At 46.2% G+C, this 21,815-nt stretch overlaps 1 protein-coding gene across 2 annotated transcripts, besides 2 other annotated features; it reads left to right on the forward strand.

The window, feature by feature from the left end:
- Positions 9,540-9,589: a silencer, noted in NCBI's record as "silent region_18630". NCBI's record gives its function as "represses an Ori minimal core promoter by ATAC-STARR-seq in GM12878 lymphoblastoid cells {active_cell/tissue: GM12878}" and the evidence as "EXISTENCE:reporter gene assay evidence [ECO:0000049][PMID:35858748]".
- Positions 9,650-9,989: a silencer, noted in NCBI's record as "silent region_18631". NCBI's record gives its function as "represses an Ori minimal core promoter by ATAC-STARR-seq in GM12878 lymphoblastoid cells {active_cell/tissue: GM12878}" and the evidence as "EXISTENCE:reporter gene assay evidence [ECO:0000049][PMID:35858748]".
- On the forward strand, positions 9,841-20,228 carry SMKR1 (small lysine rich protein 1). 2 transcript variants are annotated; one of them, NM_001195243.2, is made up of 2 exons: positions 9,841-10,137; positions 19,557-20,228. In NM_001195243.2, the coding sequence occupies exons 1-2, from the start codon at positions 10,135-10,137 to the stop codon at positions 19,749-19,751; spliced, it is 198 nt and encodes a 65-aa protein (NP_001182172.1). In that variant the 5' UTR covers positions 9,841-10,134; the 3' UTR covers positions 19,752-20,228. The 2 variants fall into 2 exon arrangements, with proteins under 2 accessions (NP_001182172.1, XP_024302388.1); XM_024446620.2 differs by having other exon boundaries at positions 19,561-20,228.
- The last annotated feature ends 1,587 nt before the right edge of the window (positions 20,229-21,815 follow it).

Genomic DNA, 21,815 nt, shown 5'->3' on the forward strand with positions numbered 1-21,815 from the left:
TCAAAGGAGATTCAAGAAAGATTTTCTGGCTTGGGTAGGGTATATGTCATGAAGAAGCAGGTATCCAGTTGAATAACACATTTCTGCATTTATTGGTATTTTAATTAAGAATATACAGGTTAAAAATTCAGAGGATACAAGAGTACACAATGAAAAATGTAATTTCCTCCCATCCAGATCCCTATCTTGTTCCCCAGAAGTAATGAGTATCAATATTTTTTTATCCTTTCAGAAAACTTCCACAGTACTCATCCATCTCCTCCCTACCAACATTTTTTTTTACACAATTGGGAACACAAGACATGCTGTTCTATGTCTTTACCATTTGTCTTGGATATCTTTCCATATTAATATTCTCTCATATGACTATAAATTATTATACTCATTTAATAATATATGATTTTAATTACTTAATAAATAAGTCTTCCCTAACACCACCTTCAAATACTTTTCACCTAAGAAGGGTATAGATGGGAAGAATCATGTGTAGCATGTGTGTGTGTGTGTGTGTGTGTGTGTGTGTGTGTGTGTGTGTGTGGTGGTGGGGATGGGGTTAAGGGAGATTCACTCAGTTCCCATAGCAATAGGTCAAAACAGTCTGACGTATCATTTCCTCCCAGCAGTTCTGGTTATTCAGACTCCCAAATCCTGTAAATGTAATGAGATGGTGCCCGAGTGTGCTATGGGGAGGTGTTCAGGCTGTTTGCTCCTGTAGTAATTAGCCAGATTTAAATTTCAAAAATCAAGAATTTTAAATTTTTACTTTTATTTTATAGAAAAGAAAATAACCAAAGTCTTTCTAGGGAACCGCAAGACTACAAAAGTCATCCCACCTCTGCTCAAACACCTTCAGGGAAAGTGACTTCTTTACTAAATAAGACAGTGCCATCTGTCCCCTTGCCTCCAAATGGAAACATTACTTCAAACATTCTGTAACTTTTTGTTCAAATGCTTAATGGAGCTGGCAGGACAAAGATCTTCCATGTGGATGCCTGTGAAAGTATGTCTTTACCAGAAGATAACATTTTACCCAGAAAGGCAGTACAGCATAATGGCTCAGATAGAGGGTGCTAGACCCAACTTGGTGAGCTATTGTATCATGCTCTGCCTCTATTAGCTGTGTGATATGCGACAGATGATTTAGTCTCTCTATGCTTCAGACTCCCCATCTGTAAAGTGGGGCTAATATTACTACTTACCTTCTATGGTTGTATTAAATGAGTATACATGATTTTTATATATAGTGCTTAGGAGAATGCTTACTAAATATGAGTGCCCAATAATTGCTATTATTTTTCCTACCTCATTCCCCTCCCTCTCAATCCCCCAGCAAGAATAATAAATAGCATTTTAACTCTCTAGATCAGGGATTGGCAAATTAACAGCCCGTGGGCCAACTCCAGCTTACTACCAGTTTTTATACAGCCCATGAGCTAAGAATTTTTTTTTACGTTTTTAAATGGTTGGGGAAAATCCAAAGAAGAAAAATATGTTCTGACACATGAAAATGAACACAGATGTGCTCATTTGTTTACGTGTGGTTTGTACAGTCATGCGTTGCTTAGTGATGGGGATACTTTCTGAGAAATGCATCATAAGGCAATTTTGTCCTCGTGCAAACACCATAGAGTGTAGTTACACAAACCTAGATGGTATAGCCTACTGCACACCTGGGCTATATGGTATAACCTATGGCTCCTAGGCTACAAACCTGCACAGCATGTTACTGTACTGAATACTGCAAGCAATTGTAACACAAGAATGAGTATTTGTGTATCTAAACATAGAAAAGGTACAGTAAAAATAAAGTAAAATACAGTAAAAATAGTAGACCTGTATAGGGCACTTATCATCAATGGAGACTGCAGGGCTGAAATTGAGTGGTGTGTGAATGTGAAGGTGTAGGACATTGTTATATACTCCTGCAGACTTTATGAACACTCTACACTTAAGCTACACTAAATGTATTTAAATTTTTTTATTCAATAACAAATTAACCTTTGCTCACTGTAACTTACTTTATAAACTTTTTAATATTTTTAAACTTTTTGACTCTTCTGTAATAACACTTAGCTTAAAACACGCACACATTGTGCAGATGTACAAAAATATTTTCTTTCCTTATATCCTTATTCTCTAAGCTTTTTCTATGTTTAATTTTTTTTAGTTTTTAAACTTTTTTGTTAAAAACTAAGTCAGAAACAAATACATTAACCTAGGCCTACACAGGGTCAGGATCATGAAGACATCACTGGGTGATGGGAATTTTTCAGTCCCATTATAATCTTATGGGATCACTGTTGTATATGTGGTCCACCATTAACCAACATGCTGTTATGCGCTGCATAGCCTGTAACTGCTTTTATGCTACACCAGCACAGTTTAGTAGTTGTAAAAGAGGACACAGGGCCGGGCGAGGTGGCTCACACCTGAAATCCCAGCACTTTGGGAGGCCGAGGCAGGTAGATCACGAGGTCAGGAGTTTGAGCCCAACCTGGCCAACATGGTGAAACCCCATCTCTACTAAAAATACAAAAATTAGCCAGGCATGGTGGGGGGCATCTGTAGTCCCAGCTACTCAGGAGGCTGAGGCAGGAGAATCGCTTGAACCCAGGAGGCGGAGGTTGCAGTGAGCCGAGATCATGCCATTGCATTCCAGCCTGGGTGACAGAGTGAGACTCCATCTCAAAAAAAAAAGAGGACACGGGGCCCACAAAGTCTAAAATATTTACTCTCTGGCCCTTCACAGAGTTTGCTGACCTCTGTCCTGGATATGAATGACTCCTCTCCTAAGTCTGCCCCAGCTGGCCTTGTATCCCAAGGTCTTGCATTCTCACTGCTAGGACCCTAGTGGGTGAACAGAGGAAATGACCTACAAAGAACGGTTTATTTTTTCTGTAACTTCTTCTTTAATATAAGGACTATCAAGGGTGGGGCTATCATGAAATGAATCCAGTGATATACTATTGCACTTAATGAAACAAAAAAAGAGAAAGAAAAAATAAAGGAAGGACAGAAAGAAGATGTCACCAGAGTAGAAAAGAGGAAATAGGAATTTTTAAGTGTAACTTCTAAGAAAGATAGTGATAGAATATTCTAAGTTTGGATATTCTAAGAATGCATGCTTCAATTCTGGTAATTTTTAAAAAGAACAGCACAGTTAGCATTACTATTTATAAAGAAGACATAAGGATGTGTATTCATAAATAGATAAAATTAACTAGTGCTATTCTGATGTGAGAATGAATAGTTATCTAAATTTAACATCTTCCACTTTACACAGGAAGATTTGTTCAGTTCTTGTGGAATAAACATCTAAGGTCCTAAACATTAAGTGATTCTTAAGTAAACTGGCATTTAAGACAAATGCATATGTAATCAATGATGTTCTGATACTAGCAAGAATCTGAACTATGTGCTATAACAAAGTCTACCATCCAGCCACCCACCTCAGCAGCTCTCCTTATCTCCCTGCAGATCAATGCTAAGGCTTTCTTCCGTGCAAAGGCTGAAGATCCATTTGGTTGATAGAAAACAGTCCTGCCACTGAAATTGTTTCAATCATCACTAGACCATTTTATATCCTGCCTGTCCACTGGCAAAACATGCTTTCTTGTACTTTATATCTTTTAAAGTAAGGCTTCTTGGAAACACTTTAAATTCACACAGCAGGCCAGGTGCAGTGGCTCATGCCTGTAATTCCAGCACTTGTGGGAGGCCAAGGGAGGATCACTTGAGCTCAAGAGTTCGAGACCAGACTGAGCAACATAGGGAGACCCTGTCTCTACAAAAAAATTAAAAATAAAAAAAATTAGCCTGGTGTGGTGGTGCTAGCCTGTGGTCCCAGCTACTAGGGAGGCTCAGGTGGGAGGATCACTTGAGCCCAGGAATTCGAGGCTGCAGTGAGCTATGATTGTATCACTATACTCCAGCCTGGGCAATAGAGTAAGATTCTGTCTCAAAATAAATAAATAATAATAATTAATTAATTCACATAGTACTTTCACAGTTATTCTATCATATTGCCTTCACAGTAACCCAAGGGGAAAAAGTGAAGCTCAGAGAATTGCCCAACTAATAAGTAGTGAGGCCAAGGCGTGAACTCACATCTTCTGGCCTCAAGTCCAGGGCACCTTTCTGAATAATTATAGCGGTTAACAGCACAGGCTCGACAGACAGACAGAGCGGGCTTTGACTCTGACTGTGAACCTGGGAAAGTTACTTACTTTCTGACCTCGTGTACAAAGTGGAGAACATAATAGAAACGACCACACTGGTTATAGTGAAGTGAAAATGCAATATGTGTGCAAACGTCCCTTCAGTGTTGGCTACAATTTGCAGCAAGAAAAGGATAAAATGATATGGATATCAAGGCAGGGATTGATACAAGAGCATTTCCAAAGGACACTCAGGCCTGACCAATGAACTTATCATTCTAGATGGATGAAGATGAGCTAGAGGAGACGAAGGGCAAGAGCTTGGGAGAACGGTGCAGCCAGTGGGGACCAGATGAGGCAGGACAAGGGGAGATGCCCAAAGTGCAGGGAATGATGGGGGCTAAGGGCCAGAGCTCAGAGGGCAGCCATTTTTCACCACAGAGACTGTGTCATCATGAGAGTGGTAGGCACTGACATGACTCCCTGAGCCAGCAGGGGAGGGGACACTGAGGGAGAAGCGCACAGGGCTGAGGAGTGGACTTTGAGATCATCCCCCACTTGGAGTGCAGCAGGAGGCAGATAGGCATGTAATGACGATGCGGGCTGGGATGAGCAAGGAGCAGAAAGCATGCCCCAGAAACAAGTGGGGGACTTAAAGGAGGGGAGGCTAGCAGCCTTCACTTAGGCTCAGAGGTCAATGAGAATGAAGTCTCTGGGCTTGGCAGAATAAAGGCAATAATACTTCCCAATGAACCATGAAAATTGTTCCATTAACTTCTATCATTACTGCTGTGGCATAAAGTGAGGAGCCTAAAAGAGGCTGCTCACTGTGGAGGAGACAAGGAAACCTCTCTCTAACTAAAGTACAGATTCATGCAATGCCAGAGGCCGAGGCTGAGTTTAATGGGCACAAAGTGTTGCTAGTGATTAATGAACTCACAGTTTGTGCTGGGCCTTGAAGGTTGAACAGGCTTCTGATGATAAGCAAGGAGGAGAAAACACTCCAGCTAAAGGAGAACACATAAGTAGAGGCTGGGAGGTGTGGAGCACCACAAATCCCAGAGACAGAGGAGAGTGGCCAAAATAAGGCATGAGGGGCCAGCAAGGGTAAGTAAAACTAGACAAGCAGATGGAGGCGAGATTCGGAAAGATGACACATATTCATACCATACCAAGGAGTTCTTTGTAGGAAATAGTCATCAACAGTTTTTGAAAATGGATGAGACATGATTAAATCTGTGCTTTAGAAAGAATACCAGATGGAGTGCAGAAGCCTCAGGAGGCAGCAGGGCTGGTCAGGAGACTTCTGTAGCAGCCCAGGCCAGAGACAGCACAGGCCTGAGCAGGGTGGTGATCTGAGGAAGAGCAGGGTGGGGAAGGGCGGTCCCCCAGAGAGACAGGGCTTGGCAAGCAATGCAGGAGGGCACACTGAGAGGCTTGCAGCTGGGTGATTGGGAGCAGGTGGCACCATCCACAGACTTAAAAAGGTGAGGGTCAGGTGTGGTGGCTCATGGCTATAATCTGAGCACTTTCAGAGGCTGAGGCAAAAGGATCCCTTGAGCCCAGGAGTTCAAGACCAGCCTGGGAAACATAGGGAGACCCTATCTCTATTAAAGAAAAAAAAAAAATTGAAAAAAAAGAAAAGAAAAGAAAAGAAAAGAAAGTCAGCTGGGCGCAGTGGCTCATGCCTGTAATCCTAGCACTTTGGGAGGCCAAGGCAGGCGGATCACCTGAGGTCAGGAGTTCAAGACCAGCCTGGCCAACAATGGTGAAACCCTGTCTGTACTAAAAATACAAAAATTAACCAGGTGTGGTAGCACACGCCTGTAATCCCAGCTACTCTGGAGTCTGAGGCAGGAGAATTGCTTGAACCCGGGGGGCAGCAGCTGCAGTGAGCTGAGATTGTGCCACTTCACTCCAGTCTGGGTGAAAGAGCAAAACTCCATCTCAAAAAAAGAAAAAAAAAAACAACAAGTCAGGAGGCAGCCTCAAGTAGGTGCAGATGAGAGTGTTCTAGATACAAGGAGAGAGAGAGGGATCAAAGGTGACAAGTTCCTAGCGTGGGTACCTAGATGGCTGCTGAGGCCATCATCCAAAACAGAAGGAGATACACATTGGCTAAGAGAAGTGTTTGATTTTATTGATTTAGAGGCAGGGTCTTGCTCTGTCGCCCAGGCTGGAATGCAGTGGTGCAATCACTGTTCACTGCAATCTTGACTCCCTGGGCTCAAGCGATCTTCCCGCCTCAGCCTCCCAAGTAGCCAGAACCACAAATGCGTGCCACCATGCCCGGTAAATTTTGTATTTTTTTTTTTTTTTTTTTGCATAGATGGGGTTTCACCATGTTGCCCAGGCTGGTCTTGAACTCCTGAGTTCAAGCGATCCACCTGCCTCAGCCTCCCAAAGTGCTAGTATTGCAGGTGTGAGCCACCGCGCCCAGCCATGTTTGATTTTAGATGCGGTAGGGTAAGGTTCCTGAGTTGAAGTTTCAAAATCAACTTTATCAAGCTATAATTCATATATTGTAAACTGCACTCATTTGAAGTATATAATTTAATTAATTCTGACAAATGTATATACCTGTGCAGGGCCAGGTTCATGGGCTGTTTGACCCCCCAGTGGTCACACAGAGTCCTACTCCTTTTTTTTTTTTTTTTTTTTTTTTTTTTGAGAAGGAGTCTTGCTCTGTCACCTAGGCTGGAGTGCAGTGGTACAATCTCGGCTCACTGCAACCTCTGCCTCCCGGGTTCAAGCAATTCTTCTGCCTCAGCATCCTAGTAGCTGGGATTACAGGTGCCCACCACCATGCCTGGCTAATTTTTGTATTTTTTAGTAGAGATGGGGTTTCACCGTGTTGGTCAGGCTGGTCTTGAACTCCTGACCGCAGGTAATCCACCCGCCTTGGCCTCTCAAAGTGCTGGGATCACAGACATGAGTCACCGCGCCTGGCCGAGTCCTACTCTTAGAAGGGCCATAGGCTCGGGGTTTAGTGCTCTGAGTTTCACAGTGTGAAAATTTCTTAGTAATTTTACCTTTGAATTTTTGTTTTGTCAATGAAATCTGACGGGAAAATGGAGGCTGCTGGGGGAAGGGGGTTGGTGCCTTAGCTGCTGCTGAGTCTCACCTCTTGTCACCCCCCACTACCCCCAATCCCCACCTTCACCCTACCCAACCCCCAACCCCATCTAGGGCAGGGCATGGCAATACCCCCGTACATTCAGAGTGAGACACGCGAGCATCCTGTCCACCACAGTCATGACACCAAGCACATCCTGGCACAGAGGGTGCAATCCCTCGAGGGCCACCCATCTGCTATGGGACGATAGCTAGGAAGGGGAGTGTTCCCGTACCCAAGGAAACACATTAAACAGTAAACAAAAACAGCATAACAGGTTGATAGAGACCACAGAGAAAAGGAAAGCTTTCTAATTTAGTACCTTTAGTGGCACTTTTCCCTGCTTCTTCCTGTTTTCATTTTGCACTAAGCCATGCAAATAATGCAGCCAGCCCTGCACCTGTGTAGCTACTGCCACAATCAGGATAGAGAGTATTTCCATCACTCAGGAATTTTCCTCTTAGCCCACCGCAGAGTCAATCCTCCCCCACCCATGGCACACCTCGACCACTGATCTACTTTCAAGACAGCTGAGTTTTAAAACTTGTAGCAGGAGGCCAGAGCAGTGGCTCACGCCTGTAATCCCAGTGGGAGGCCGAGGCAGGCGGATCACCTGAGGTCAGGAGTTCAAGACCAGCCTGGCCCCTGTCTCTACTAAAAATACAAAAATTAGCCGGGCGTGATAGCGCATGCTTTGTAATCCCAGCTACTTGGGAGGCTGAGGCAGGAGAATTGCTTGAACCCAAGGGGCAGAGGTTGCAGTGAGCAGTGATCGTGCCATTGCACTCCAGCCTGGGCAACAGAGCAAGACTCCATCTCAAAAAAAAAAAAAAAAGAAAAGAAAAGAAAAAGAAAAGAAAAGAAAAGAAAGAAAACAAAACAACCTTGTAGCAGGGCTCTGGATCTCTGATCTGGAGCTCAGGAAAAGCAGGGCTGGAACAGATTTGGGAGTGATCCCATAGGGGTAACCTTGGGAGAGCTGAGATAACCCAGAGAAGTGTAAGCGGCTGGGGTGGGCCAGCCCCATCCAGGGATGAAGACAGGCGCAAGAAGAGAAGAAAGTGCAGGTGGAGGGCAGGAGAATTTGCCATATCCAGGGCATATGGACTCATAAGAAAAACTCACAGACATATTAAAAGTAGCTGGAAGTTGGGTTTGCTCTGTTAATGAAGGATTAGGGAAAGCATATGTAAGAGAACCTAGAACATAAACAGTCCTCTTTGGAAGCCAGTTTGTCTTTCAAGAGAAAGCAAACAAAACACCACATCCTTGCAGAGCCTTCCAGGACCCTACTCCTGCTTCTTGGTCTAGCCTCCTCCCCCTGTCCCTAATTTTGGCATAATTGACTGCTCCTTGTCATCCAGATCTGTTTTAACGTCACCTCCTCAGAGAGGCCTTCCCCAGTCACCAATCTAAAAGAGCACCCAGTGGTCACATCAATTTAATGCAATATGCCATACTGTCCCTATCACTTTTAATGTCTGCCAGGCCCTCCATTTCAGCCACGACCACCTCCCCCAAATCACCCCTTAAAAGAACAAGGACTTTGCCTCATTCAGAGCTCAATTTCCAGGGCCTGGAAGAGTGTCAGGCACGTGGCAGATGCTCAATAACTGTTGAATAAAAAGGAATGATAGGCCGGGCAGTGGCTCACGTCTGTAATCCCAGCACTTTGGGAGGCTGAGGCGGGCAGATCACCTGAGGTCAGAAGTTCGAGACCAGCGTGACCAACATGGCGAAACCCCATCTCTACTAAAAATACAAAAATTAGCCGGGCATAGTGGTACGCATCTGTAATCCCAGCTACTCAAGAGGCTGAGGCAGGAGAATGGTTTAAACTTGGGAGGCGGAGGTTGCAGTGAACCGAGATGGCGCCACTGCACTCCAACCTGGGCGACAGAGAGAGACTCGGTCTCAAAAAAAAAAAAAAGGAATGACCAGTCATAAAAAAGAATGAGTCGTACCACCCGAAGTGTAGACTTCACCTGCAGGGAGGGAGGCTGGAACTGGCAAGGTTGGAGGCAAAACTGTACCTACTGTACCTTTCTCGCCCAATCCTACCTGCACATGAACTCCCTCCCCACCCCTTTAGTCTCTCGGGCCCTTACTCTCTTTATCCGGCTCTTTTGCAAACATTTCCCATGATATTCTCCCTTCACCGTCACAGTCCTTATGCTCGTTTCCCAAAAGAGCTTCTCCGATGATCTCTCCCAGGTTGGCCGAGTGAGCGGGCCTAGCCTGCGCTCTCACCCCAGTGCCACCCCAGTGGGAGCGCCGCCCGCGCCCGCCCCCTCGCCCCGCGCCCGCCCCCTCGCCCCGCGCCCGCCCCCTCGCCCCGCGCCCGCCGCTCCGGCAGCCCAAACCCAGACGCTAAAGCGCCGAACTGGGTTTCCGGGCGCTGGAGGCCGCGGTCGGCCTCGTACTAGGTGACGGCCCATCCCGCGCGCGCAAGCCCGGAACCCCGCTCCGCTCACCCTCCGCGCGCTGCCGCTTTGCCCTGGCAACGGTAACCACGGCGAGGCCCTGCCCCACGCCCGGTGATTGTGCGCGCGGCCCCGCCCCCGAGGCGCACGCCGGCCCAGCGCCCACAGCTGCGGCGGCCTAGGTGCCGCGTGGGGCAAGCAGGTGCCTCGCGTCCAGGCGGCTCCGCGGCTGGCTGCCTCCCGAGCCGGCCGCGCTCCTCCCAGCGAGGCGTGGCGGGGAGGCGTAGTGAGGCTGGGCCCGTGGCGGTTCCCTGAGGAGGGCCGAGAAGGGGCCGGGGGTGCTAGGGGAACGGGCGCTGGGGGCAGCGGCCCCGGTGGATGCTAAGGGCTTCGGGATCGGGAGAGTCCACCACGCCTGCCTGCTCGGCTGAGAATCGCCATGGTAATCCCCGTCTCCCTAAAGTACCCGGGGCCAGGGCGCGCGCCGTGGAGCCCCAGGCTGTCCCGGAGAGGCGCGGGCGCCGAGGTCACCGCCTCTCCCTGGGGTCGACCTCAACGCGTGGCGAAAAGATGGAGGGACAAGGGGTGCCCGGCGGTCCGCGCCTGCTGGGGGCGCAGCAGCCGCGGAGTCAGGCCAGCCGTCTTTCCAGGTTTTAGGTCGTGGTCCTGTTGAGCAGCCCCCACACCCAGACGGTTGATGTGGAAAATAAAGGGAGGGTGGCACCGTGGTGTGGCACGTCAGGGCGCCAGGCCATGCCCACAGTGACGGGTCCGAGCTGTTAGCTGCCGTAGCCACCCTGGGTGCCCGCGCGGGATTCTCCACTGCTCTGCAGACTCAGGAAGCAGAGAGTGAGCCTGGTACCACCACCTTGCTGTCAACAGCATTCCTGTTCTCAGCCCTCATCCAGTCACTTACGACCTCCTTCCAACCCTCGCTGCTCTTTCCAGAAGGGCTGTGACCTTCCAGCCCCTGCCCCAAGTCCTCAGGGAGGCATCATTGTCTGCTAAACTAAGTACTGCACGCTTGAGCTGGGCGCACAGAGCCCTTGCTAAAGGGGCCTCAACCTCGAGCTTTCTCTGCCATATCTTCTCTGCTAAACAACAACAAACAAAACGAACAAAAACCCTGCATCCCACACTAAACCCGCGTTCTTCTGGAAGCCCCTTGCGCCTTCCCTGTCTTGATCCGTTTTCTTTGAGGCTTGGATCAGAAGGACCCTGCCTCCTGCTTCCCCATCGCTCCTTCAGCGCCCACAGCCCTTTGCACCTCACCTCTGGTGCTTTGCCTGTTTTTCCTTGGAAAGCCTTATTCCTCATTAGACTCTAGTGTAGAAATCATTAAGTTTCTGTGTTCTTTCCAGTTTGTTTCGTGTAAAAGGATTAAGTAAAAATTTCTTGGTTTGAGAGTCATTCCATGAGCTATTAAAGGTAAAGAGCTATTACCTTTTTTTTTTTTTTTTTTGACAGGGTCTTACTTTGTCACACAGGCTGGAGTACAGTGGTGTGATCACAGCTGACTGCAGCCTCCATCTCTGAGGCTCAAGTGATCCTCCCGCCTCAGCCTCCCAAGTAGCTCGGACCGTAGGCAGGCATCACCATGCCTGGCTAATCTCTGTATTTTTAGTAGAGACAGGGTTTCGCCATGTTGCCCAGGCTGGTCTCAAACGCCTGGGCTCAAGGGATCCGCCCGCCTTGGCCTCTCAAATTGCTGGGATTACAGGTGTGAGCCACTGTGCCCAGCCAACTGCCATTTCTTTCAGGGCCCAGGGAACTGAGGCAGAATGCTGTACATAGCCATTGAAGCAAATGCCAGTTAATTCATGCTCCTTGAATGAGGGTCAAACACATTAGTGCACAGAGCCTGCAAGCCAGAGCGGAACCTTGCCTACCTTTCCTTCCTTAGCTGCTCTCACTGGCCCCCTTGGCTGCCTGTGGGCTGGCCATGTTGGCCTTTTTTGGGTTTCCGTCTCTTTGTGCACCTTCTCTCCGGCTTCAGAGACTTTGCATAGGCTGTTGGTCTTGGAATTCCCTACTCTCGGCCCACAGGCCACGCTTAGGGAGCCCTTCCTTTGATGGCCCAGATGAGGTCAGCCCTTGCCCATCTTGTGCTATTATAATTCCATGTGTTATAGGCATTATAGGGTCTTTCTTTATTAATTTCTTTGTTTTTGTTTTTTTTTTTTTAGAGATAGGGTTTTGCTTTGTTGCCCAGGCTGGAGTGCGATGGCATCATACATAGCTCACTTTGGCCTTGAATTCCTGGGCTCAAGGGGTCCTCCCACCTCAGCAGCCTGAGTACTGGGGACTACAGGTGTGTGCCACTGAGCCCAGCTAATTTTTTAAATTTTTGTAGAGACCGGATTTTGCCATCTTTCCCAGACTGGTCTCAAACTGGGTGCAAGTGATCCACCTGCCTCGGCCTCCCAGAGTGCCGGGATTACAGGTGTGAACCACCATGCCTGGCCAATAGGGCCCTTTCTTCACAGCATGGGTCGTGAGTAAATGCATTTGTGATTAGGTGACTAGTGTCTTCCTCAGACCTCACTGGACTGTAAGCATCGTGAGATCTCCTTTGCTCCCCATCTAATACAGGGCCTGGGACACAGTAGATTTTTGTTAAATACTTGTTGAATGAATGAAGGAGGCATCTTAAAATTCAGAAAAGCAGAAATCCACATTTGCTTTCTAAATCCTGTTATTGCATTGCATCTCAGTTGTGATGTATTCATTCACTCAGCAGATATTTATGCATCCTTGCAGTGTGGCAGATATTGGTGTAGGCTGGGGAATTCAGTGGTAAATTTATAGACAGAATCTCTGGTGAGGGAAACAAACAATAAACATAAACAACAATTACTATTAACTAGTGAAAAGTGGTGCGGGGAAGGAGATGGACAGTGACTCTACTGGGGTTGCTGGGAGACTGTTAAAGACAGACCACTGTACTTCCCCCTGTCCCTAGCCTGGGACAGTCTCAGTTTATGTTTGTTTATATTTGTTGAAGTATCTTGATTTGGGCAATAAATTATATGGTCACTCCAGTTACAGACAGAATATAGACATGGTGTCAGGGAGGTCTTTCTTTTTCTCTTTTTCTCTTTTTTTTTTTTGAGACAGAGTTTCACTCTTGTCGCCCAGGCTGGAGTGCAATGGCGCGATCTCGGTTCACTGCAACCTCCGCCTCCCCGGTTCAAGCAATTCTCCTGCCTCAGCCTCCTGAGTAGCTGGGATTACAGGCACCCGCCACCGTGCCTGGCTAATTTTTTTTGTATTTTTAGTAGAGATGGGGTTTTACCATGTTGTCCAGGCTGGTCTTGAACTCCTGACCTCAGATGATCCACCGGCCTCGGCCTCCCAAAGTGCTGAGCCACTGTGAGCCACCATGCCCAGCCTGTCAAGGAGGTTTTTCTAAAGAGGTGATATTTGAGCAGAGGCTAGCGTAAAGAGAAGCAACGAATTCTGCCCCTTCAATTAGAAGGTCTGCAGGAAGAGCAAGCATTGCCCAGGGAGAAGCTCGGAGTGTTGGGAACTAGAAGAAAGTCCAGTGTGGCTGGAGTCAAGTGGTTTTCCTTAAGGAGTTTGGAGGGTTTTAAGTTGGGAGCTGCATGTTCTGAGACCAGGAAAAGCCAAGAGCCACAAAGTTGTATTGAACCAATCCAAGGAATGGATGGGCCCAGAAACAAAACCTTTATTATTCCCATGTAATAATTTCTTAACAGATTTATTGAGGTGGAATGTATATACAATAAATTTTACATGTTTAAAATGCATGCTTTAGGCATGGTAGCTCATGCCTGTAAACCCAGAATTTTGGGAGGCTGAGGCGAGAGGATAGCTTGAGCTCAGGAGTTCGAGACCTGCTTGGGCACCATAATGAGACCCTCATCTCTATAAAAAGTAGAAAAAATTAGTTGGACATGGTGGTGCAAATCTGTAGTCCCAGTTACTCAGGAGGCTGAGGTGGGAGGATCGCTTGAGTCTGGGAGATCGAGACTGCAGTGAGCCATGATCGTGCCACTGTACTCCAGCCTGGGCAACAGAGTGAGACCTGTTTCAAAAAATAAATAAAAAATAAAATGCACACTTTGATAGGTTTGGCAAATGTGTGCATTCATTAAGCCATCACCACAATCAAGATTGTAAATACAGCCATCACCCATTTTTTTGTAATCCACCTTTCTCTCTTGCCCCTCTCTGTACCCCTACTCCCTCCCAACCCTCCCAGGCAATGGCTGGTCTGCCCTCTCTCTAGATTAGTTTATCGTTTCTGAGATTTTATATATATGCAGTCATACATTATGTTTTTTTTTTTTTTTACTGACTTTTTTTACTTGAGTAATTATTTGGAAATTCATCCATGTTATATCATTTATCAGTAATTATTCCTTTTTAGTGCTGAGTAGTGTTCCATTGTATGGTTATACCATGGTCTATCCATTCGCCTGCTGATGGGCTTTTAGGTTTTCTTTCTTTCTTTTCTTTTTTTTTTTTTTTGACAGGGTCTCATTTTCTCACCCAGGCTGGAATGCAGCAACTTGATCGTGGCTCACCACAGCCTTAACTTCCCTGGGCTCAGGTGATCCTCCCACCTTAACTGGGACTACAGATGCATACCACCACCACATCTGACTAATTTTTTTTTTTTTTTGAGATGGAGTCTCACTCTGTTGCCCAGGCTGGAGAGCAGTGGCTCAATCTGCGCTCACTGCAAGCTCCGCCTCCTGGGTTCACACCATTCTCCTGCCTCAGCCTCCCTAGTAGCTGGGACTACAGGCGCCCACCACCATGCCCAGCTAATTTTTTGTATTTATAGTAGAGACAGGGTTTCACCATGTTAGCCAGGACGGTCTCGATCTCCTGACTTTGTGATCCGCCCACCTCGGACTCCCAAAGTGCTGGGATTATAGGCGTGAGCCACTGTGCCCAGCCAATTTTTTTTTTTAATATAGATATGGGGTCCCATTTTGTTGCCGGGGCTGATCTTGAACTCCTGGGCTCAAGCGATCTTCCTACCTTGGCCTCCCAAAGTGCTGAGATGACAGGCATGAGCCACTGTACCCAGCCTGTTTCCAGTTTTTAGCTATTACAAATAAAGCTACTATGAACATTCATGTAAAAGTCTTTGAATGAACATATGCTTTCATTTCCACCTTAGGAGTGGAATGGACTGGGTCATATGGTAGACATGTGTTTAACTTTTTAAAGAGGCTGCAAACTGTTTTTCAAAGTGGTTCTGTCATTTTAGATTTCCATCAGAGTTGTATGAGAGTTTCAGTTTCTTTACATCTTCACTAATACTTGGTAGGATCAGTCTTTTTGACTTGAGCCATTCCAAAATATATGTGGTGGTATCTCCTGGTTTTCATTGCATTTCACTAATGACTTAATGTTGAGTATCTTTTCATGTGCTTATTTGCCATCTGTATATCTTTTTTGGGGAAGGGTCTATTCAACCTTTGAACATGTTTTATTGAGTGGTTTTCTTACTGTGGCGTTTTGAGAGTTGTTTGTTCTCCATATAGGCCTTTATGAGATACATGATTTGTAGATATTTCCCCCAGTCTGAGGCTTGTCTTTTCATTCTCTTAATAATATCTTTTGAAGAACAAAAGTTTTAAATGTTGATGGTGAGTTTATCAAGTTGTTTTCATGAGTTGTGCTTTTAATGTCATATCCAAGAAATATTTGCCTAATAATCCAAGGTAACAAAAGTGTCTTCTCTATTTTCTTGTAGAAGTATTGTAGTTTTTGGTTTTATATTTATTTCTATTATCTATTTTGAGTTAATTTTTATATATGGTGAGACTATGGGTTGAGGTTCATTTTTTTGTAAATGGATATTCATTATACCAGCACCATATGTTGAACAAGATTATCTTTGCTTCACCAATACCTTTGTTGAAAATTAGCTGATCAAATGTGGATCTATTTCTGGACTCTATTCTGTCCCATTGTTCTAGTTGCCTATCTTGACACCACTATCACACCATCTTGTTATGGTAGCTTTATAATAATTCTTGAAATAAGGTAGTATTAGTCTACCAATTTTGTTCTTTTCTTTTTCTTTCTTTTTTGAGACAGGATCTTGTTCTCTCACCCAGGCTGGAGTGCAGTGGCGCAATCTCAGCTCACTGCAACCTCTGCCTTCCGGGTTCAAGCGATTCTCCTGCCTCAGCCTCCCGAGTAGCTGGAATTACTGGTGCCCGCCACCACACTCGGCTAATTGTTGTATTTTTTTAATAGAGACCGGGTTTCACTGTAGTGGCCAGGCTGGTCTCAAACTCCTGACCTCAGGTGATCCACCTGCCTCAGTCTCCCAGAGTGTGAGGATTACAGGCGTGAGCCATTGCACACAGCCGGTTCTTTTTTCCTAAGTCCGCTTTTCCATGTGAATTTTGGAATCTTCTACAAAAAGATGAGAACTTTGAAAACAGTGTCAAACCTTTATCTCCCATCCTTTGTGTTTCCATATGAATTTTAGAATCAGTTTGCCAATTTTTTACAATAAGATGAGAACTTCAAATAAAAATGTCAGACTTTTATGTGAATTTTAGGTCCCAAACCATTTTAAAGATTAAAACACATACATTAAGTCAAGTGTGTTTGGCATGCAAAAAAGTACAAAGACATAAAGAAATTGAGACCCAGGCCAGGTGTGGTGGCTCACGCCTATAATCCCAGCACTTTGGGAGGCCGAGGCAGGCAGATCACGAGGTCAGGAGTTGAAGACCAGCCTGGCCAACATGGCGAAACCCCGTCTCTACTAAAAATACAAAAATTAGCCAGGCGTGGTGGCAAGTGCCTATAATGCCAGCTATTCGGGAGGCTGAGGCAGGAGAATCACTTGAACCTGGGAGGCAGAGGTTGCAGTGAGCCAATATCATGCCATTGCACTCCAGCCTGGGCAACAAGAGCAAGACTCCGTTTCAAAAAATAAAAAAGAAAGAAAATCAAGACCCAAAGTCTTTAAGAGCTTCTGGTAAAATGTACATCCCGTACCTCATGGGGCTGTTTTACCAGGAGAATGCAGTTACATAGGATTTTCATGTGGATTCTCTCAGAGAAGCCAGGCCACTGCATTGCAAGATACGTCTCATCTTCATTCCCGGGTTTTGTATCTAGGAATGTACTCTATTTCACCTAGCAAAAATGTATTTCAGCAGTTTTTTTTTTTTAGACGGAGTCTCACTCTGTCACCAGGCTGGAGTGCAGTGGCGTGATCTCGACTCACTGCAACCTCCGTCTTCCGGGTTCAAGAGATTTTCCTGCCTCAGCCTCCTAAGTAGCTGGGATTACAGGTGCACGCCACCACACCTGGCTAATTTTTGTATTTTTAGTAGAGACGGGGTTTCACCATGTTGGCCAGGCTGATCTCGAACTCCTGACCTTGTGATCTGCCCGCCTCAGCCTCCCAAAGTGCTGGGATTACAGGCGTGAGCCAGCGCGCCCGGCCTATTTTAGTAGTTGTAACACATGAACTATGTTCCTCTTTGTCTAGCTTGGGACATTTTTTGACCGCAATGCTGTGAATAGGACATCTATTTTATATAAATGCTTACCCCTTGCAGGTGTCCTTGAACGTTTATACCTTCCTCTCCTCTCCCTTGCCTACAAGAGACATTTTTTAATAATATACTTCCATTGGTTATTTTCTGTATGTGTGGGTCAGAGGACATAGAGAAGTTCAACTCAGTTTTGTGCAGTTCTAGCAAATATAAATGTAAAACCAAAAACTATAACCCTTCTAGAAGAAAATATAGAAGATGCTTGTTACTTGGGTTAGGCAAAGATTTCTTGGGTATGACAAAAGCACAATCCATGAAAAACAGGTTGACAAGCTCAAAATGTAATAGTTTATTTCCAGATTAGGATGGTATCCATTTATTTTCCCAGAGAACACTGACCTTATGGGGTAGTCATGGAAAGAGAATAGACACCGAGCCTGGTGGACACTGGTTTCTGCATGCTGGGTAGCCTAACTGAGCCCCTACATTTCCATTTTGAAGGCAGGAATAATACATAGAAATACAGCTCTGAGTGTTGGTGGTGTTAAAGATGATGGCACAGGCCGGGCACAGTGGCTCAAGCCTGTAATCCCAGCACTTTGGGAGGCCAAGATGGGAAGCTCGTTTGAGACCAGGAGTTTAAGACCAGCCTAGGCAACATAGCGAGACTGTCTCTACCAAAAATAAATTAGCCAGAAATGGTGGCTAATGCCTGTGGTCCCAGCTACTTGGGCGGCTGAGGTGAGAGGATCGCTTGAGCCTGGAAGGTCAGGGTTACAGTAAGCTGAGTTTGTGCCACTGCACTCCAGCCTGGGTGACACAGCAAGACCCTGTCTCCAAAAAAAAGGAAGGTGATGACAGTCATCATTTATTGAGTATTTGTCTCACATCAGACATGGTGCTAAGTGTCTTTTTTTTTTTGCGGGGAGGCGGGGGGAGGCAGAGTCTCGCTCTGTCCCCCAGGCTGGAATGCAGTGGCGTGATCTCGGCTCACTGCAACCTCTGGCTCCTGGGTTCAGGCGATTCTTCTACCTCAGCCTCCTGAGCAGCTGGGATTACAGGCGCTTGCCACCATGCCCAGCTAGTTTTTGTATTTTTAGTAGAGACGGGGTTTCACCTTATTGGCCAGGCTGGTCTCGAACTTCCTGACCTCAGGTGATCCACCCGCCTTGGCCTTCCCAAGTGCTGGGATTACAGGCGTGAGCCACCGCGCCCAGCCTATGCTAAGTATCTTATATTTGTATCTCACTTAAACCTCATGACTGCTTAATGAGGTAGAGATTACTTGTAAAACAAGTGCCAACATACATATTTGCATCCTGATTATCAAACTTGTTTTAAATTTAATGTGTATTATGAAAATTTCCAAACATAAATGAAAATAAAATCATAAACTAAATCCTCATATAGCCATTTCTCAGATTCAGAAATAATTAGGATTTTGCCACATTTGCTTTATCTGTTTTTTCTGGGTCGGGGGCAGCGGGGGAGCTGAGTGTTTTAAAGCAAACCTCAGGCCTTCTTTCATTTCATCCCTACAGATTTCAGTGTGCACTTCAGAAACGTGTGGACTTCTTCTTCTGTGATTTGCTGCCATTGTCAGACCTAATAGAATTACTAATAATTCCTTGACATGATCAGATTTCCCTGATTAACTCAAAGACATCTTTTTGCAGCTTGTTCAAATAAGAATGCAAACAAGGGCCACAGCTTGCATTACGTTGGGTCTCTTTTAATCAGGGTGCTTAATAAACATTTGTCAAATTAGATTGCGTGTGACTTTCAGAAATTATTATAATTCTGGGTCAGAATTAAACTTTGCTCTCAAAAGGCAGTTCTAGTTGCATTAATTGTTTTCGTTTGCCAAAGGGGGTTTGTCATTTAGAGAAGACAGGACGATGCAAACTGTTTGTTGTGGCTGCTATTTTGACTTATTTCCTTTTAGGAATTTTTTTTCCTTGTTCAATACAGAAATACTGAAAATGATACCAAGTTTATAAAAACTAACTCGGCCTGGCAAGATGGCTCACACCTGTAATCCCAGCACTTTGGGAGTCTGAGGTGGGCAGATCACTTGAGGTCAGGAGTTTGTGAGCAGCCTACCCAACATGGTGAAACCCTGTCTCTACTAAAAGTACAAAAATTAGCCGGGAGTGATGGGGCACACCTTGTAATCCCAGCTACTTGGGAGGCCGAGGCAGGAGGATCACTTGAGCACGGGAGGTGGAGGTTGTAGTGAGCCAAGAGCATGTCACTACACTCCAGCCTGGGTGTTGGGAGTGAAACCCTGTCTCAAAAAAAACAAAAACCAAAAAACTAACTTCCCTCCTCCCATATTTATATTTGTCTTTGAAAGCCAGCTAAAGGGAAAAAAGGAAAAGGCCAGGGCAAGTCTCATGGGAAGAAACAGAAGAAACCAGAAGTGGACATTCTCAGCCCCGCGGCCATGCTGAACCTCTACTACATCGCCCACAACGTCGCTGACTGCCTGCATCTGCGAGGCTTCCATTGGCCGGGTGCTCCCAAAGGAAAGAAAGGGAGAAGCAAGTGACAGCATTTCACAACACATCTCTGTTACAGACAACAGGACCTGGGGAAGAGAAGTCAGGATAACACAACTGTTGCCAGCAACATAGACTTTACTCCAGACGACTTGAGATGCAAATTAAGTGTGCTTTTCTGTGATGGTGGAAGATCAGGAAATGCACCTTACTTCCTCTGTTATGCCAGATATGGTTAGCCACTTTGGTTTTTTAGGAGCTATAGGATGGGAAAAGCCTGAGTAATTCCTACACAGTGTGCTGAAATTAATAGAACTTTCAGAAATTATTATAATTCTGGGTCAGGATTAAACTTTGCTCTCAGAAGGCAGTTCTAGTTGCATTAATTGTTTTCTTTTGCCAAAGAGCGTTTGTCATTTAGAGAAGACACGGCAAGAAACACTGGGTTTCCTTAGGAACATTCCTCTCTTGGGCACCATTTCCTTTTTTTTTTTTAATGGAAAATAATAAATACTTTGTTTCTATAATTTTCTTCTCAGCAGTCTGACTCTGTTTGATTTGAATTAGCCACAGGCTCCACGGATGCTAAGATGGTCACGAATGCTCTGACCCTGCCAGTCTTGCAAGCAGATGGTGAGAAGTGGCTGACAGTGTGAAATGGCTGGATGCAGGGCAAAGGGGGCAAATCTGCCCATCCCTTTCTTTTTTCTTTTAAGACGGAGTCTCACTCTGTTGCCCAGGCTGGAGTGCAGTGGCGAAATCTCAGTTCACTGCAACCTCTGCCTCCCGGTTTCAAGCGATTCTCCTGCCTCAGGCTCCCAAGTAGCTGGGATTATAGGCGCACGCCACCAGCCCAGGCTAATTTTTTTATTTTTAGTAGAGATGGGGTTTCACCGTGTTGGCCAGGCTGGTCTTAAACTCCTGACCTCAGGTGATCTGCCCGCCTCGGTCTCCCAAAGTGATGGGATTATAGGCGTGAGCCACTGCACCCGCCTCAGTCTCCCAAAGTGCTGGGATTACAGGCATGAGCCACTGCACCTGCCTCAGCCTCCTAAAGTGTTTTATTACAGGTGAAAGCCATCGCACCTGGCCATCCCTCTTTTTTCCATATTTCACCTGACTCTTCTCCCTCCTTCCCTCCACACTCTATTTCGTCCCACCTTCTGCCTACTTTGTTAAAACTTGGCTGGCCCCGAGTTATAGAATTGGTGCCAGGCACTTACTTGCCCTGGGCATTCGGCTGATATTCTAGATCTCCCTAGCCCTGTAAGGAGACGCCTAAGAGGTGAAACTATAGTTCTTTCTCCTCGGCCCAGAGGCCTAAATTCTCCAGATGTGAAAGCCAGCGTTTTGCAAGTGCGGACGCCGTCTTTGACTCCCTGAGCACTCCATCCTTGCCTCCTGCTCTGTCTTCCTGGCTCTTCCTGCCCCTCCTCAGCCCCTGCACCGTTGTCTCCATTCATGGTTCTGAGCCCAAAGCTGACACACTGTAGGCAGCACCTCCGGGGATGTTCTAGTTTGTTGGAATTATAATTATGCTCCAGGTGGCCTTGTGAGGATCGCAAGGATTCATGAGGTTTGCTAAGGGAAGCTGCAACTCAGGACTCAGGATTTCATACACATCAGAGAAAAAAAGGAAGCTCCATGAATCTCTGTGCTAGAGAAGTGGGGTGCCCATGACCCACGTGAGCCTGTTGGGAACAATACTGTTTACCTGCACCATCTGTGCAGTTTCCATAGAAGCCCTTGGCCAGTTGCCAGAGGAGCCCTCACTTGGGTGAATCTGAAGGGAGGTCTCCTCTGCTGTGTTTTCTGGTTTTGGAGACGGGGAGCACCTTCCCACCCTGTTAAGGACTGCTGAACTCACTAACTCCAGTTCAGCAGTTCTCACACTTGAGTGTGCCTCTCGGTCACCTAGAACACTTGGCCAAGTGCAGATTGCTGGGCCCTACCCTCGCAGGAAGGATGGGGCTCAGGGATTTGCGTTTCTGGTACGCTGGCAGGTTATGCTGGTGCTGCCCAGCCACACAGGTAGAGAGCTGCCGCTCCAGTTAATGCTGCCTACCCAGAAGCTAAAAGGCTTAGTGGAATCCGAACCTGTGGGATGTGTAATG

This window comes from Homo sapiens, chromosome 7 (genome assembly GCF_000001405.40).
Source record: "Homo sapiens chromosome 7, GRCh38.p14 Primary Assembly".
Classification (NCBI taxonomy): domain Eukaryota; kingdom Metazoa; phylum Chordata; class Mammalia; order Primates; family Hominidae; genus Homo; species Homo sapiens.

Excerpts from the sequence above, each read along its gene's own strand:
- SMKR1 (XM_024446620.2), top strand. The coding sequence starts at position 10,074 with ATGCTAAGGGCTTCGGGATCGGGAGAGTCCACCACGCCTGCCTGCTCG. Across the intron at positions 10,138-19,560 it reads CTCGGCTGAGAATCGCCATG|CTAAAGGGAAAAAAGGAAAA; the intron begins GTAATCCCCGTC and ends TTTGAAAGCCAG.